The following is a 19,550-nucleotide window of genomic DNA, read 5'->3' as shown; positions in this document are numbered from 1 at the left end:
CTCAGCCTACTCAACATGAGGACAACTGGATGCAGACCTTTCTGATGATCCACTTCCACTTAGGCAATAGTAAATATATGGTCTCTTCTTTATGATTTTAATAACATTTTCTCTTCTCTGGCTTGCTTTATTGTAAGAATGCAGTATGTAACATGTATAACATGAAATATGTACCCATCCATATGAACAAGTAAGGCTTCTGGCCAACAGTAGGCTATTAGTAGTTAAGTTTGGGAGGAGTCAAAAGTCATATGCAATTTTCAGCTACACAGGAGGTCTAGTGCCCCTAACCTCTACATCATTTATGGGCCAACTGTAATTTGCAATAAATTTTGACTGCTAGAAATAATAAGAAATATTAGTTTTTATGATATTTATTCTTTCTTATAGTGTAATTTACATGTCCACAATAGTAAATTTGAAAAATATCACAAAATAAAAGTAAAAATGACTTATAATCACTCAGATATAACACCATACTGATTCTTTGTTGAAAAATACAAATCACTGAATGAATACATTCACCGTATAAGACCCGAATGAGGCTTTACTTGGTTGTACAAGCTCCCTGGCAACATGCAATAGTCTCCCCAGCACTGGCTCCTATTGTACAGGCTGCCGAACAAAAGCATGGATTAAGTTAAGAAAAAAGAGGCACAGTAGCAATCAGTTACAACAAAGCTTGAACTCTGCTTAGAACGGCCTTTGAACAGTGTCGTTTAACACCCATAAACATGCACTCACACTGCCCTCTAGTGCCGGTCCACTAGACATCATGCAGCCACACACAATAATTGCAAAGCTGAAAAAAGATCAAAGGAAAACAATGGCTAAGGGGTAGACGGAAATGAGAAAAAGAATTATATTGTGTGCACCCAGTGAATTCCTATTCTGGGAAAAATAAATTATCATAAAGCACTTATTTTCCTCTCCTCCTCCCACTTCTGTCTTTCTTTACCAACACAATAGACAAACTCTCTTTTTTTCATTTTAACCTTGCCTGTAAGTGGAAGGAAAATAGTCCCTATAATAAAGCGATAAATAAAGAGTCCCATGTTATTATAAATATTTGGATATATGTGAAAAATTAATTAGTCTTGTTTTAAGTAGGAATCTAATTAACAGAAAAAGCACGACGCACTAAAGAAAAATGAAGATGACATTATAAATCACAAGAAAATAACAGATTATTTTTAAAATGGTGTTAGATGGTAAACTGTATGTAAAAGAAAGAAAATTGTATTTAGCTCCTTATGGCATGCCAAAAACCCAAATAGATTTCATGGATGAAGTTAAAAGTAAAATCAATTTTTAAAAATTATATAAAAATCTTCATCAAATATATGGAGACATTTCTAAGGTGGAAGAAATGACAAAGGCAAATATGAATAATTAGACTTCATCAAAATAAAAACTCTCCTATTTTAAAAAATAGAAGAAGACATGAAAAACGGAGAAAATACTTAATATATATATTAAAAGCTTACACAGAGATTTTTTTTAAAAAAGAATATGACTCCAAAACCAAAAATTCACAAGTTAGAAAAAAGTGACTTATAAGTAAATGTGCAAGCATTCATCTTGAGAGTAACCTAGAAAATGCTCACTAAAATTACATGCCAATTTTTGGCTACCAAAATAGCAGAAATGTTTTTAAAATACTACCCAATGCTAGAGAAGGGGAGATAAAATAAACATTCTCAAATGTTAATGATACTTCTTTAGAAAACCAATGAGTAGGTATCAGGATTCTTAGAAATATCTATATCCAAAAATATTCAATGCTACTATTTGGGGGAATTTATTACAGGGAAATAAATAATCTCAAATGTATAAAATCTTCATGGTCAAAGATGACATTAAAACATCTTTGTTGGAGTATCTGTATTAATACAAAATATGTTTGTTCATTACCTATAATAATATAAAATGTGTATTCATCTTAAATGCCCAATGATAGAACAATACAGAATAGCCTTAAGGAGAATTGTCCCACTAGTGGATTCTGCCATGCTGCAGAACAGATTACTGATTCATTGATCTTCCGAGCCCTCAAAAATGATAACAAGATTTGTCTGTGCAGCCAGTGCCACAAGACAGTTGCCTCTAGCCTCAAACAGCTTCATCTGTTTGCCTCTTAATGCCTTAAAAGTAGTTACTTTCCAATGTGCTATAATGTGAGGAACATGTAAAGAACTTCTTATAGCATATATTAAATGTGTTTATTAACAACCATTAAAATATTTACAAAAAGAATACAGGGCTGTCCATATCAACTAATCTCAAATATATATTTTCAAACTGATAAATAAAACAAAGACTTAAAGAATATGCACCAAAATTTTAATAATAACTTCCTTTGAATAGTAGACTTAAAACTCATATTTTTCTTTTCCTTCACCTTTTGGTATTTTCTAAGTCCCCAATAATAACTACTTATTTTTGACCATTTAAAAGTAATTTTTAAGGTCTTAAATGGTAAAATTCGTAACAAATGAGTATAAAAATACTTCAGGGGAATTGACCATTTCCCAGTAGTTATCTATTGAATTATTTACAAAATAAAATCTACCATGAGATAGTATAATAGTGATTGTCCAGTAAGAGAGCTATGTTTTAAATATATTATTGCACTGTTCGGGCTTTCACTGGGAAAGAATTTTAAAAATAATAAACAAATGCATTATTGCATGGTTATCTTTCTGTTTTTCTAATCTTTTAAATTACTTCAAGCAGTCCACAGAGAGCCTGTCTTCAAAAACTGAGTAATTATTTATCTAGATATGATGTAGAGAGGATTCTTGTTTAAGTGCAATTGAATTAGAAGATTTATGAGATGTCCTCCAAAGCTTGTCTTCTGTGCCCCACTTCACAAAAATTATGGCATATTATTGGTGTTAGAGCCCCATATTTATTTCAAGAAATACTTCAACACTGAAAGAAATTAAATTCCATAAATTCTGTAATATTACCAATGTTGACATATTTTGCTAATTTAAACTTAAAATTTTGAAGTTCCAGTTTATACTCTCTACCTGTCTGCTTGCCAAAGAGATTTTTCTAAAGCCAAGGAACAGCTGAATCTAAAAGATGGGAGGGATAGTTACTATGTGCATAAATTTTAATTGAAAGAATTATGAGCTCATAGCTGTTAAAATAGAAAATAACAGGTTCATTTGCATACCTTCCCAAAGTATAAAAAATTAAAGCATTTGTTCTAGGCTGCGGAGGCAGGGATTTTAGTGGAGCTAGGATTCAATATTTGCAATATTGTTTATATTTTAAACTATATGGACCATGATAATTATCCAGAAACTATTAAGATTGGGAATGATTCAAAAACATTCCTTCCCAGCCGGGCACAGTGGCTCACGCCTGTAATCCCAGCACTTTGGGAGGCTGAGGCTGGCAGATCATTTGAGGCCAGGAGCTCAAGACCAGCCTGGCCAACATGGCAAAACTCTGTCTCTAAATACAAAAATACAAAAATTAGCCAGCGTGGTGGCACAGTCTATAATCCCAGCTACTCACAAGGTTGAGGCATGAGAATTGCTTGAACCCGGGAGATGGAGGTTGCAGTGAGCCGAGATCATGCCACTGCACTCCAGCCTGGGTGTCAGAGCAAGACTCTGTCTCAAAAAATAAAAAATAAAACTTCTTCACCTTGGTCTACCAGTCCATCTACTTTCAGTTCAGTCCACTGGTTTTGATTCACACCATAACCTGACGATATTGGAGATGTGAGGAGAAAAGGAAGTAGAATTTAAACAATTTAATCTCGTTAATTGTAACCAAGAGACATTTTGTAAATAGAAAATAACATTAGAAAAAGTAGTCTTACTCTAAGAAAAATTTCCAGAATTTTTACCATGACTATCACTTAAATGCAACTAGTTGAAAGTATTCATTCATGGAAATGTCCTAGTGGTAAATTTCCATACGTTTAATTGAATGGTTCTTAGTATTAAAAAAATTGAAAATGGCAGGCAATATATTTTAATAATTCCTAAGATGTCACACAAATGCCTCAGATAGAGCTGAGTTTATCACTGACAAATAGAAAGGAAAAAAAGCATAAAGAGCTTCAGATGTATGCATTAGTTAACTGAATTAAACCAATTTAAAAAAAACATTGCTTCTCATACAATGTTGCTCTTAATCTGCAGTAATTAGTTTTGGAAATGCTTAGGTCTCGTTTCTTTGAAGTTGCAATAAAAAGTTATAACAATTTAGCATCTTTGTATTACTCAAACAAGAAATTGAACATGTTAAACAAAATTTTGTGGGGGTCTTGCCATTTTATTTGGCTTGATTTGGATTGAAAGCAAAAGAAGAAAGAAAGAGAGATTGGATGATAGAGGGAGGAAAGGAAGGGAGGATGGGAAGGAGAAAAAAAGTAGGAAAGGAAATAAACTGTATTTTAGATTCCAATTGTCTCTCCTCTTAGGGAGGCTAAGAAGAAAGATTAAAGAATTCACCACCTGCAGATATTGGAAATTATGAGCATTTTTCAAATACCATACTTGGACAACCCTATAAATTTGGCAAAAGGGATCTAATACAATCAGATTGAAATTCTGGGCAATTAAATTTCTATCCAAACTAACTGCAGTTTTCAGACAATGAAAAACTTGAAAGCTTTCAGCAGTTTTTCCTTTTATTGATTGTTGTGGATGTCAGGACATTGTCATGAACCACCATCATATATCATATTCAGCAAGAATCCATAAGTACCAATAAATGGCTCATTGGAAATGGTACTTATATGCAATATATTAACATTCAGTAGTCTTTTTTATGTATTATTTTTGAGAGAGAGAGACAGATGGGGTCTCACTATGTTGCCCAGGCTGGTCTCAAACTCCTCACCTCAAGCAATCCTCCATCTTGGCCTCCCAAAGTGCTGGGATTATAGGAATGAGCCACTGCACCTGGCCAACATTCAATAGTCTTGATTTTATTGTTTACTTATAAAGTTATGGCCAATTAATTTATATCTAAATTATTATTATATAAGATTATAATGAAGAAGAGTTAAAAATTCTGTTATAATTTCCAATATGACACTAAGGTGCAACAGATGGAGTTTAAAAAAGGGGTTCAAATTGTAAGGATCTTGAAAACATGCTTTCAGAAGAAAAATCCAGTTGTGGGCGTAACTTTACTATCCTTCAAAATATAAAGGTGTACTCTAATGATCACTTCCTCCATCATTGATTAATAATTGTAAGAAAACTCTCATTTGCTGAAAAAAATAAACCCAGCACCTAGGACAATAAATACATACCATATACTCCCAAATAGATGACGGGTCTCCGACTTGTTTTCTGCCTCTTAGGAGCTTATAAAGCTAAAGTTCACAATTAATGGGGAAGGGAGGAGACAGATGATCTTCATTGCCTTAGTTATAAACTTGCTTTGGTCTATGGTGATCCTGTGTTAAATTGTGAAATAGAATCTATCATGCTGGCTCTTAGAGGCCCTTGACTTCATCCTTTTAGTGCTTTTCTTACTTATTTTCAAACCTTCACCTCTCTCACGTTGAAAATCCCAACTCTTAACACCCTCTCTAACAAACTACCCCTTCCCACCAACCACCACCACCTACCTCACTCTATCATCTAAATCTGTTTCAAGATACAAAAATCTTGGTAATTTATATCTTAACACAAATTACCTACTACCTCTTCAAAAAGCAAGTTAAGCCTGATTCTAATTGTGGGATGAAAAGCTTTTTCCCTATGAAGAAATTTTAAATATCATCAAGCATGTGGAGAGGTGCTAGCGAGGGAATGGAGCAAGGAATCAAATTCCATAGGCGATTGTTTTCTCTATCTTTGTATAAAAATGTCCTTGCCCCAATTAAAGCCTCCACCAAGTACAAGGTTGAAATGTGCTTTTTATTCCACTCATTAAAGAGAATTAGCTAACCTAGACTATAAAGTCATAATAACATTCATACAAAGGTAGATTCAAATCTGTTATTTGTCCCTGATGAAAATGATACTTATATTTGGTTTTCAAAGACTATCTAAATAACAAATGACATTTAGAAGAATCTTCATTTACTAATAACTTGAATCTGCTGTATACAAATGAACAAATGAATTCATTTTCAAAGAGGGATATGATATAGAATCTGGAAACTATCGGTCACACAGCTTTATCAGATCTTTGGCAGAACACCAGAATCAATGGCTAAATGTGATTTTTGAGCACTTAGAAAATAAAAGGTTCCCAAATGTCCACCAATGATAGACTGGATTAAGAAAACGTGGCACGTATACACCATGGAATACTATACAGCCATAAAAAAGGATGAGTTCACGTCCTTTGTAGAGACATGGATGAAGCTGGAAACCATCATTCTGAGCAAACTATCGCAAGGACAGAAAACCAAACACCACATGTTCTCACTCATAGGTGGGAACTGAACAATGAGAACACTAGGACACAGGGTGGGGAACATCACATACCAGGGCCTGTCATGGGGTGGGGGGAGGAGGGAGGGATAGCATTAGGAGATATACTTAATGTAAATGATGAGTTAACAGGTGCAGCACACCAACATGGCACATGTATACATATGTAACAAACCTGCACGTTGTGCACATGTACCCTAGAACTTAAAGTATAATAAACAATTAAATAAAATAAGAAAAGGGTTCCTAGATAGCAAGTGAGTTTTGCTAAAATTTTTTTAAAGTCCAATTAATATTATTTTAGTAAATAATTTGAAAATGTCTTGTAATATCTTTCATACAGTTGGAAAAGTGTACCAGTGAATTCATAGCAAGCTGAACAATTGTGCCCACTGAATTTTAATAAATGAACCTGATCTCTAATGACATAACTACAGACTCTGTATTAAGAGTGTTAACTTGATCTCTAATGATATAACTACAGAATCTATATTTTGTATTGTGAAGATCAACAATTCTTTGCCAGGACCAAGATAAACTCATAGATTCCAAATCCATAAATAAAATAAGATAGGATAGTTAATATATCTGTGATGGAATAAAGAGTAGTAAATTGAAATAACAGAGTAAAACAAATGCAAGCAGATTTTGGAGGCAGTGCAAGGTAGCCAAATAGAAGCCTCAAGCAATCTTACTTCCTACAAGAACACCAATTGAACAACTATCCACCCAAAATATGTTATCATCCATAAGTAAGGACTTCATCTTGCCAGTTTGTTATTTGCTTTCTGGTTGATTTGTGGTCTTCTCTTCCTTCTTTCTTTCCTTCCTTCCTGTCTCTTTTTAGTGAAGGTGATCTTCTCTGGTGGTATGTTTTAATTCATTTTTTTGCATCTGTTGCATGTTTTTTGATTTGAGCTTATCATGAGGGTTGCAAATAATATACTATAACTCATTATTTTATATTCAATGATAACATTGAAAGTAAATGGACCAAACTCACCAACCAAAAGACATACTGTGGCTGAACGGATTAAAAGATACACACTTCACCTATAAAGACACACAGAGACTGAAAATAAAGAGATGGAAAAAGATATGCCATGCCATTAAAAACCAAAACGAAGCAGGAGTAGCTATGTGTATATAAGGCAAAATAAATTTCAAAACAAAATTCTAAAAAGAGTCAAAGAAGGTCTTTATATAATGATAAAGGTGTCAATTCAGCAAGAGGATATAACAATCATAGGAAAAATGGTGGATAGAAGACAGGACTAACACGCAGCTCCCACTGGATGGATAGAACAGTGTCTGGAGACACACATTATGAACTTTTGCTCCAAGAACCACTGTAGGAACATACTGGAAAAACTGGAAGAATTCACAGACCCTTTGAAAGAAGTGGCTTGTCACTGCAGATGCCAAAAACCAGCCAAAAAACCCTGAAGACAAAAGACGTAAGCTCTTGGGATCTCTATGGCCCCACTCATCACCTGAGAAACCTGAGTACTCATCCTGGCCAACTCAGGGCAAGATTATATCCCCCTTCTACTACTGCAGCTGTACTCTCTTGGAAGCACCACCTCCTGACAGGAGGCCAATCAACTCAAGCCATTACAGCAACTCATAACAGAACACCCTGCTCTAAAGAAGGAGAAAACAATAGATAACTCCACTGCCTGCAACGCCCTGGCTAATCAGAGGTCCTGAGTCCATCCACATGACAACTTGACTGCTAGCATAACCAGCATTCAAGAAAACCAGCACACCAAAAAATAACTACAACCAAGGACTCCCATAGAGTCCCTTTTACTCTCCTGCCACCTCCACCAGAGCAGGTGCTGGAATCCATGGCTGGGAGACCTGAAGATAGATCAAATCACAGGACACTTTTCAGACATTCCTCAGCACCAGCCTGGCACCCAGTAGCCCTACTGGGTGGCTGGATTCAGAAGAACAATAACAATCACTGTGGTCTAGCTCTCAGGAAGCCCCATCTCGAAGAGAAGGGGGAGAGCACCAAATCAAGGGATTACTCCATGGGACAACAGAATCTGAACAGCAGCCCTTGAGTCCAAAATCTTTCCCAAATGAGAAGGAACTAAAAAAGTAATTCTAGTAATACTATTAAATGAGGTTCTATAACACCCCCAAAAGATCACACTAGCTCTCCAGCAATGGATCCAAACCAAGATGAAATCTCTGAACTGACAGATGAAGAATTCAGAAGGTTGATTATTAAGCTACTCAAGGAGCCACCAGAGAAAGGTGAAAACCAACTTAAAGAAATTAAAAACAAAAAGGAGGATATGAATGAAAAATTCCATAGAAAGATAGATATCGTAAAGAAAAGACAATTACAACGTCTGGAAATGAAAGACACACTTAGAGAAATGCAAAATACACTGGAAGGTTTCAACAATAGAATTGAACAAGTAGAAGAATGAACTTCAGAGCTCAAAGACAAGGCCTTCGAATTAACCTGATCTGACAAAGAAAAAAATAATTTTTTAAAAAATGAACAAAGGCTCTCCCTCTCCCTCTCCCTCTCCCCCTCCCCATGGTCTCCCTCTCCCTCTCTTTCCACGGTCTCCCTCTGATGCCGAGCCGAAGCTGGACTGTACTGCTGCCATCTCGGCTCACTGCAACCTCCCTGCCTGATTCTCCTGCCGAGTGCCTGCCGAGTGCCTGCGATTGCAGGCGCCACCGCCACGCCTGACTGGTTTTCGTATTTTTTTGGTGGAGACGGGGTTTCGCTGTGTTGGCCAGGCTGGTCTCCAGCTCCTTACCGCGAGTGATCCGCCAGCCTTGGCCTCCCGAGGTGCCGGGATTGCAGACGGAGTCTCGTTCACTCAGTGCTCAATGATGCCCAGGCTGGAGTGCAGTGGCGTGATCTCGGCTCGCTACAACCACCTCCCAGCCGCCTGCCTTAGCCTCCCAAAGTGCTGAGATTGCAGCCTCTGCCCGGGCGCCACCCCGTCTGGGAAGTGAGGAGAGTCTCTGCCTGGCCGCCCATCGTCTGGGACGTGAGGAGCCCCTCTGCCTGGCTGCTCAGTCTGGAAAGTGAGGAGCGTCTCTGCCCAGCCACCATCCCATCTAGGAAGTGAGGAGCGCCTCTTCCCCGCCGCCATCCCATCTAGGAAGTGAGGAGCGTCTCTGCCCGGCCACCCATCGTCTGAGATGTGGGGAGCGCCTCTACCCCGCCGCCCCATCTGGGATGTGAGGAGTGCCTCTGCCCGGCCGCGACCCTGTCTGGGAGGTGAGGAGCGTCTCTGCCCGGCCGCCCCGTCTGAGAAGTGAGGAGACCCTATGCCTGGCAACCACCCCGTCTGAGAAGTGAGGAGTCCCGCCACCCGGCAGCCGCCCCATCTGAGAAGTGAGGAGACCCTCCGTCCGGCAGCCACCCCGTCTGGGAAGTGAGGAGCGTCTCCGCCCGGCAGCCACCCCGTCCGGGAGGGAGGTGGGGGTCAGCCCCCGCCAGGCCAGCCACCCCGTCCGGGAGGGAAGTGGGGGGGTCAGCCCCCCGCCCGGCCAGCCGCCCCATCCGGGAGGTGAGGGGCGCCTCAGCCCGGCCGCCCCTACTGGGAAGTGAGGAGCCCCTTTGCCCGGCCAGCCGCCCCATCCAGGAGGGAGGTGGGGGGGTCAGCCCCCCGCCCGGCCAGCCGCCCCGTCCGGGAGGGAGGTGGGGGGGGTCAGCCCCCCGCCCGGCCAGCCGCCCCGTCCAGGAGGGAGGTGGGGGGGTCAGCCCCCCGCCCGGCCAGCCGCCCCGTCTGGGAGGGAGGTGGGGGGGTCAGCCCCCCCGCCCGGCCAGCCGCCCCGTCCGGGAGGTGAGGGGCGCCTCTGCCCGGCCACCCCTACTGGGAAGTGAGGAGCCCCTCTGCCCGGCCACCACCCCATCTGGTAGGTGTACCCAATGGCTCATTGAGAACGGGCCATGATGACAATGGCGGTTTTGTGGAATGGAGAGGGGGGGAAGGGTGGGGAAAAGATTGAGAGGTCGGATGGTTGCCGTGTCTGTGTAGAGAGAAGTAGACATGGGAGACTTTTCATTTTGTTCTGTACTAAGAAAAATTCTTCTGCCTTGGGATCCTGTTGATCTGTGACCTTACCCCCAACCCTGTGCTCTCTGAAACATGTGCTGTGTCCACTCAGGGTTAAATGGATTAAGGGCGGCGCAAGATGTGCTTTGTTAAACAGATGCTTGAAGGCAGCATGCTCGTTAAGAGTCATCACCACTCCCTAATCTTAAGTACCCAGGGACACAAACACTGCGGAAGGCCGCAGGGTCCTCTGCCTAGGAAAACCAGAGACCTTTGTTCACTTGTTTATCTGCTGACCTTCCCTCCACTATTGTCCTATGACCCTGCCAAATCCCCCTCTGCGAGAAACACCCAAGAATAATCAATAAAAATAAATAAATAAATAAATAAATAAATAATAATAATAATAAAAAAAAATGAACAAAGTTTCCAATAAATTTGAGATTACATTAAACAACAAAACATAATTGTTGTTCCTGAGTAAGAAGAGAAATCCAAAAGTTTGGAAAACTTATATGAGGGACTAATCAAGGCAAACTTCCTTAGTCTTGCTAAATATCTAGACATCCAAATATAAGAAGCTAGAAGAACACCCAGGAAATTCATAGCAAAAAGATCAACACTTGGGCACACAGTCATCAGGTTGTCTAAACTCAAGATGAAGAAAAGCATCTTAAGAGCTATGAGGCAAAAGCATTAGGTAATCTTAAAGGAAAACCTATCAGATTAACAGCAGATTTCTCAGTAGGAACCCTGCAAGCCAGAAGGGATTGGGGTCCTGTCTTTAACCTCCTTAAACAAAACAATAATCAGCCAAGAATTTTGCATCCAGTGAAACTATGCTTCATAAATGAAGGAAAGATATAGTCTTTCCCAGACAAACAAATCCTGAGAGAATTCACCACTACCATGCCAGCACTATAAGAACTGCTAAAAGGAGCTCTAAATCTTGAAACAAAACCTCAAAATACACCAAAATGGAACATCCTTAAAGCAAAAACTTCACAGAATCTATAACAATAACACCATGAAAAAAAAAGGTATTTAGGCAACAACTAGCATGATGAATAAAACAGTACCTACCTCACATGTCAATACTAATATTGAATGTAAATGGCCTAAATGCTCCGCTTAAAAGATACAGAATGGCAGAAAGGATAAAAATCCACCAACCAAGTGTCTGCTGTCTTCAAGAGACTCATCTAACACAAAGGACTCACATAAACTTAAGGTAAAGGGGTGAAAAAAGACATTCCATGCAAATGGGCAACAAAGGCAACCAGGAGTAGCTGTTATTCTAACAGACAAAAAAGACTTTAAAGCAACACCAGTTAAGAAAGACAAAGAGGGACATTATATAATAATAAAAGGATTAGTCCAATAGGAAAATATCACAATCCTAAATATATATGTACTTAACACTGGAGCTCCCAAACTTATAAAACAATCATTAATAGACCTAAGAAATGAGACAGATGGCAACACGATATTAGTGGGGGTCTTCAATACTTTACTGACAGCCCTAGACAGGTCATCAAGACTAAAGTCAACAAAGAAACAAGGGACTTAAACTATAAACTACAACAAATGGACTTTATAGATATTTACAGAACATTCTACCCAATAACTGCAGACTATACATTCTTTTCATAAGTACGTGGACCATTCCCCAAGATTGACCACATGACAGAATACGAAACAAGTCTCAATAAATTTAAGAAAATCAAAATTATAGCAAGTGCTGTCTCAGACCACAGTGGAATAAAATTGAAAATCAATTCCAAAAGGAACCCTCGAAGCCATGCAAATACATGAAAATTAAATCACCTGTTCCTGAATGATCATTTGGTCAACAATGAAATCAAGATGAACATTAAAAAATTATTTGAACTGAACAATAATAGTGACATAACCCATCAAAACCTCTTGGATACAGCAAAAGCAGTGCCAAGAAAAAAATTCACAGCATTAAATACCTGCAACAAGAAATCTGAAAGAGCACAAAGAGACAATCTAAAGTTACACCTCAAGGAGCTAGAGAAACAAAAACAAACCAACCCACAACCCAGCAGAAGAAAAGAAATAACCAAAGTCAGAGCAGAACTAAATGAAATTGAAACAAAAAATACAAAAGAGAAATGAAACAAAAACACTGGTTATTTGAAAAGTAAACAAAATAAATACAGCATTAGCAAGATTAACCAAGAAAAGAAGAGATAAGATCCAAAGAAGCTCAACTAGAAACAAAATGGGAGATACTACAACTGATAGCAATCGGCATAGAAGGGCCATAACTTAAGGTAATAAAAGCCATCTATGACAAACCCATAGCCAACATAGTACTGAATGGGGAAAAGTTGAAAGCATTTCCCCTGAGAACTGGAATAAGACAAGAATGCCCACTCTCACCACTTCTATTCAACATAGTACTGGAAGTCTCAAGCAAAGCAATCAGAAGAGAGAAAGAAATCAATGGCATCCAAATTGATAAAGAAGAAGTCAATGTTGCTGTTTACCAATGATATGATTGTATACCTAGAAAACCCTAAACACTCATCCAAAAAGCTCCTAGATCTTATAAATGAATTCAGTAAAGTTTCAGATTACAAAATAAATGTACACAAATCAGCAGCACTGCTATACACCAACACCAACCAAGCTGAGAATGAAATCAAGAACTCAACTCCTTTTACAACAGGTGCAAAAACAAAACAAAACAAAACTTAAAATTATACCAAACCAGAATTGGAAAAAACTACTTTAAAGTTCATATGGAACCAAAAAAGAGCCTGCATTGCCAAGTCAATCCTAAGCCAAAAGAATAAAGCTGAAGGCATCACACTACCTGACTTCAAACTATACTACAAGGCTACAGTAACCAAAACAGCATGGTACTGGTACCAAAACAGAGATATAGATCAATGGAACAGAACACAGCCCTCAGAAATAACACCACACATCTACAACTACCTGATCTTTGACAAACCTGACAAAAACAAGAAATGGGGAAAGGATTCCCTATTTAATAAATGGTGCTGGGAAAACTGGCTAGCCATATGTAGAAAGCTGAAACTGGATCCCTTCCTTACACCTTATACAAAAATCAATTCAAGATGGATTAAAGTCTTACATGTTAGACCTAAAACCATAAAAACCCTAGAAGAAAACCTAGGCAATATCATTCAGGACATAGGCATGGGCAAGGACTTCATGTCTAAGACACCAAAAGCAATGGCAACAAAAGCCAAAATTGACAAATGGGATCTAAGTAAACTAAAGAGCTTCTGCACAGCAAAAGAAACTACCATCAGAGTGAATAGGCAACCTACAGAATGGGAGAAAATTTTTGCAATCTACTCATCTGACAAAGGGCTAATATCTAGAATCTACAAAGAACTTAAACAAATTTACAAGAAAAAAACAACCCCATCAAAAAGTGGGCGAAGGATATGAACAGACACTTCTCAAAAGAAGACATTTATGCAGCCAAAAACACATGAAAAAATGCTCATCATCACTGGCCATCAGAGAAATGCCAATCAAAACCACAATGAGATACCATCTCACACCAGTTAGAATGGTGATCATTAAAAAGTCAGGAAACAACAGGTGCTGGAGAGGATGTGGAGAAATAGGAACACTTTCACACTGTTGGTGGGACTGTAAACTAGTTCAACCATTGTGGAAGTCAGTGTGGCAATCCCTCAGGGATCTAGAACTAGAAATACCATTTGACCCAGCCATCCCATTACTGGGTATATGCCCAAAGGAATACAAATCATGCTGTTATAAAGACACATGCACATGTATGTTTACTGTGACACTACTCACAATAGCAAAGACTTGGAACCAACCCAAATGTCCAACAATGATAGACTGGATTAAGAAAATGTGGCACATATACACCATGGAATACTATGCAGCCATAAAAAAGGATGAGTTCATGTCCTTTGTAGAGACATGGATGAAGCTGGAAACCATCATGCTCAGCAAACTATCACAAGGACAGAAAACCAAACACCGCATGTTCTCACACAACAGGTGGGAATTGAACAATGAGAACACTTGGACACAGGAAGGGGAACATCACACACCAGGGCCTGTTGTGGGGTTGGGGGAGGTGGGAGGGATAGCATTAGGAGATATACCTAATATAAGTGACAAGTTAATGAGTGCAGCACATCAACATGGCACATGTATACATATGTAACAAACCTGCACGTTGTGCACATGTACCCTAGAACTTACAGTATAATAAAAAATAAAAATAAAAATAAAAATAAAAAAATAAAGAAATAATAAAAATAAAAAGTAAAAAAAATATATATATATAATTGGTTTGTGTGTGTGTATATATATGCATACAACACTGGAGCACCCAGATATATATAGCAAATACTATTAGAGTTAAAGAGAAAGATAGGCCCCAATACAGTAATACCTGGAGACCTCAACACCCCACTTTCAGCATTGGATATATCTTCCAGACAGAAAATCAACAAAGAAACATTGGACTTAATCTGCACTACAGACCAAACAGAACTAATGAAATTTTATGGAACAGTTCATCCAATGGCTACAGAGCACAAATTCTTCTTCTCAGCAAATGGATCATTCTCAAGGGTAGACCATATGTTAGGCCACAAAACAAGTCCTTAAAAATTGAAAAAAAAAACATGAAATTATATCAATAATCTTCTCTGACCACAATGGAATAAAACTGACAATCAATAACAAGAGGAAACTATACACACATGGAAATTAAACAAAATGCTCCTGAATGACCCATGGGTTAATAAAAAAAAAAAAGAATTTAAAAATTGCTTGAAGCAAATAATAGAAACACAACATACCAAGACCCGTGGCCTATGGTGAAATCAGTACTAAGAGGAAAGTGTATAGCAATAAGCACCTACCTAAAAAAGTAGAAAAACTTCAAGTAAACAACTATATTAAAGAACAAGAGAAGCAAGAGAAAGCAAAACCCAAAATCAGTACAGTAAAACAAATAGTCAGAGCAGAAATAAATGAAATAGAATTTTTTAAAAAAAGACCAATGAAATGAAAAGTTGGTTTTTTAAAAAAAGATAAACAAAATCAACAAACCTTTAGCAAGACTAAGAAAAAAATATATCCAAATAAATAAAATGAGAGATGAAAAAGGAGACATTACAACTGATACTGCAGAAATTCAAAGGATCATTAAAGGCTGCTGTGAGGAACTATATGCCAAGAAGTTGGAAAATCTAGAAGAAATTGATAAATTCCAGAAAGAAACTGTCTCAAAAAAATAAAATAAAATCAAGCAGGCCTGTGGTATTCTGTTTCCTACTTGGCGTCTTGAAAGGAACTCTGACAAAGAGAGTGCTTCCAGGAAAGGCAACCACAATGATAATGAAGGGGTCTCAATATCATGCTGCAGAAAAATATCCTTAGTAACATGGCATCCTGAAAAAAATTAAGGCTTATGATGGGAAAGAAATGATGATTGTCTTCAGGTAATATTTGTCCATTTTATGGAAGAGGGGTTAGATTTGTGCCGTGTAGTTTTAGAGAACAAATTAAGGATCAATGTACAAAATTTATTGAGTATCATCTTAGCTCAGGTTCACAATAAAAATCTTCCCAGTTGAGAGAAAAAGAAAACAAGTACCATGCAAAACATCTCTCTCGTGGTCCTCTCTTAGCTCCCATAAGATCCAAACTCCTTCATACCCTCACGCTTCTGTTCATTTTCATCCCATAGTACTCTCCATTTCTTAAACCCATACACCTTTTGCAATAATCTGAAGCCCTGTTTGTTTTTTGAAGGTTGCCTGATAATTCCTTTCTTATTACTCACTGTGAATGTCACACAATTCTGTAATTGTGTTTTTCATTTCGATATTGAATTATTTAAGAATAAGTAACGTGATTTACCTTCTTAACATATTTGGATATCTATTTCATAATAGGCACTCTATAAACACTTGATTTGGAACTTACCATACTACAAGGTTGTCCTATACTGTACTATGCTTCTTGGGGGCAAGGTCTTTATATCTCCAGCTCCCAGTCAAAGGCCTAATACATCAAGAAGTGTTTATTGAGTGGATGAATAATGGTGGATTTTAAAAAAATAATTGATTGAGGGGAAATTCAGATAACACACAATTAACCAAAGTGCACTTATACATTCACAGTAGCATTTAGTACATTCAGTGTTGCGCAACTGCCACCTCTGTCTAGTTCCAAAAAGTTTCCATCACTCTAAAGTAAGATCTTTTACACATTGAACAGTTTCTCCCTATTCTCTGCTCCTCCCAGTTCCTGGTATTCAACATTTGCATTTTGTCTCTATGAACTTGTCTGTTCTCGTTATCTCATATGAATGAAATCATACCATATATGGCCTTTTGTGTCTAGCTTCTTTCACTTAGCATAATGTTTTCTAGGTTCATCCATATTATAGCATGTGCCAGTACTTCATTCTTTTATATGGCTGAATAATGCTTCATTGTGTATATATTGTATGTTTATCTAATGATGGACACTTGGCTGGTGGCCACCTTTTGGCTACTGTGAATAATGCTATTATGAATATTCTATGGTTAATTTTTTGAGAAACTGCCAAACTGTTTTTTACAGTTTAATGACTGAACCATCTCATATTCCCAACAAGGTATGAGGGTTCCAGTTACTCCACAAACTCACCAACACTTATTGTCCATTTTTCTTATTATAGCCATCCTAGTGAGTGTGAAGTGGTACTCCTGGATGGTAGGTTTTAAAACACTGTGGTGTTTTGAACAATCTTTAACATCTTCAGAGATGACTTTACTATGAAGCTAATAAAGCTTAAGCTTCAGATTCTTTCAGTGAAAATTCTATGTTGAAATTAGAATTTATAATTTTCTATTGTTTTTCTTTAAAAGAGACATAAAAATTATATAAGTTCCTGGCACTACAAAACTTGAATTTTCCCTGCATACAAGCAAATACAAATATCTAGTGTTCATGAGTATAAAAGCAATATACCTTTCTCCAGCTGTGGTACTGTGATCTCTTACTTCCAATGTCACCATAGTCACACTTAAAGCCTTTATGACAAGTACCTTATCACCTGAGTCAAAAGTTTAAGAACCTAGTACCACAGATAGCACGGTAGGAACCATAGTAATCCCAGCCTCTTATCAATGCAGAACACCCTGTATTTAGGTTACTGCTAGAAAGCCAAGTACAGATTTCAGTTTCCAAAAGGATTCTTACACAGTTTTGCTTTCAATTATCTCTTCTTCTCAAATATCAAATTAAAAAGAACAGATCCATAGGGTGTCTGCAATACTTTAAGGATGTAATATCTTTTACACTGCTTTTGCAGTTTGCTTGTAGCCAATAGGATGATTCTGTCACATTCACTAAGAGAAATCAAGTTGCAAATGCAAATTTATATGACTGTTGATGTCCTCAATTTATATAAAAATCTGTGATGCACATCCCAGATCTGTACTGACTACAAATAGATCGAACGGTGAGCTCCATTAACCATGCCCATATGATTTATGAGTAAGTTTTACAGCTATGTGCTGTTATGCCCTTCAGAAACTAGGCTATTTGAATTGAATATTCAGTGTAATACAGTATGTGACAGACCATACAAATTATTTGCACAAGACATGGTAAGTAATTTGGACCGTAAAATTTGATGACAATGTTCATCAGGAGAGTAGCCTACCTCTCTGAATAGCCTTAGAAATTTATGTTATAGTACCATATGGTGTTCTTCTTTTCTACATTTTCCTCTTGAAGATTCAAAGTGTTTTCCCATGGTTTATTATTAATACATTATTCTCCTCTGTAAAATATTAGTTTACTTTACATATATGCAAACTAAGTTTGTGTCATTCAGTTTAAATATTAAAAAATTCACCTTCTGGCACATACTGCTAACATAAAACCCTAATAACTATATTCTTATTTAGTTGTGTTCCATGTATTCTAAATGTTCTCCATTTTTTAAGGAGAAGATATTCATTATAAGACTAGTTCTGCCTCTTAAAATCAAAATACTGACTATTTAAAGCTCAATAAACATTGAGTTCTAATTATTTTCACTTCTCTCTTCTGTTAGCTCAGTCATAATTTGTTTCTAACCTTCTATCACCTATCTGCATATATGACTTTTCAGTAAGATAGACTGGGCTTTAGTTCATTCATCTGAAAGGAACCTAATAAAGCCACTGAGTTTTGCGAGAATCGTTAGTGATATAGACACAGCTAGCATTCCAGAAAACTCAGGACTTTTTACCCTTCTCTCAAGAGAAGAGAAAGGATGTTTAAGCTTTGTGGGGGAGGAAGTGTGGCTCTTGCCAACATTTTACAATATAAAATTGCAAGACTCCTCTTATGAAACAATGTTTCTCAAACGTCGACGTGCATATAAATTAACTGAGGAGCTTGTGAAAACGCAGATTCTGATTCAATAGGCCTAGGAAGGGGCCCAGACAAGTGCTCAGGGGATGCCAATGTGACAGGTCTGTGGACCACTCTGAGTGACAAGGTTATAGAACTCCAGGTTCTGCATAAGTAGGTATGCTCAGCATAACTAAGCAAACAGCCTGCCCTCAGGTTAGTGAGGCCTTTTTTATGAATTAAAAATTTAATTTGGGGATAGATTTGCATGCAGTTGTAAGAAATAATACAGAAATATCCCATATACCCTTTACCCAGTTTCCCCAATTGTAACATCTTGCAAAACTATAGTACAATAATCTCACAACCAGGATATTGAAAATGATAATTCACAACCAGGATGTTGACAATGATAATCCACTGATCTTATTCATATTTCTCCAGTTTTACTTGTACTCATCCATGCGTGTGTGTTTGTGTATGGCATATTTAGTTTTGTGCAATTTTATTACATGTGCAAGCTCATGTATCCCCCCACCACAGTCAAAATACAAAATTCCATGCTGCAAAGATCCCTCATGTTGCACTGTTATAACCACACCAAAACCTGATCCTTGACAATCGCTATTCTCCATCTCTACAATTTTGTTATTTCAAAAATGTCATATAAATTGAATCACACAGTACATAGTCTTTA

General features: G+C 37.7%; 1 protein-coding gene across 2 annotated transcripts in view, besides 1 other annotated feature; it reads left to right on the top strand.

Annotated features, from left to right (window-relative positions):
• CNGB3 (cyclic nucleotide gated channel subunit beta 3) overlaps window positions 1-19,550 on the top strand; it is a 169,456-nt gene that overhangs the window by 39,342 nt on the left and 110,564 nt on the right. The window contains exon 1 of one of the 2 annotated variants that reach the window (XM_011517138.3): window positions 10,293-10,322. The exons of the other annotated variant lie outside the window; for it this stretch is intronic. The gene's annotated coding sequence lies outside the window, so the exon portion shown is untranslated. Of the gene's footprint in view, window positions 1-10,292; window positions 10,323-19,550 lie in introns of those variants that run through there. 2 annotated transcript variants of the gene reach the window in all.
• Window positions 9,625-10,270: an enhancer, noted in NCBI's record as "H3K27ac hESC enhancer chr8:87706251-87706896 (GRCh37/hg19 assembly coordinates)". NCBI's record gives its function as "activates a minimal SCP1, AML or CMV promoter by ChIP-STARR-seq in naive H9 embryonic stem cells {active_cell/tissue: H9 hESC(naive)}" and the evidence as "EXISTENCE:reporter gene assay evidence [ECO:0000049][PMID:30033119]".

The sequence above is a fragment of the Homo sapiens genome, chromosome 8, assembly GCF_000001405.40.
Source record: "Homo sapiens chromosome 8, GRCh38.p14 Primary Assembly".
NCBI classification, from domain to species: Eukaryota; Metazoa; Chordata; class Mammalia; order Primates; family Hominidae; genus Homo; species Homo sapiens.
Note: the sequence above shows the minus strand (reverse complement) of the source record. Positions and strands in the feature narration are given on the sequence as shown.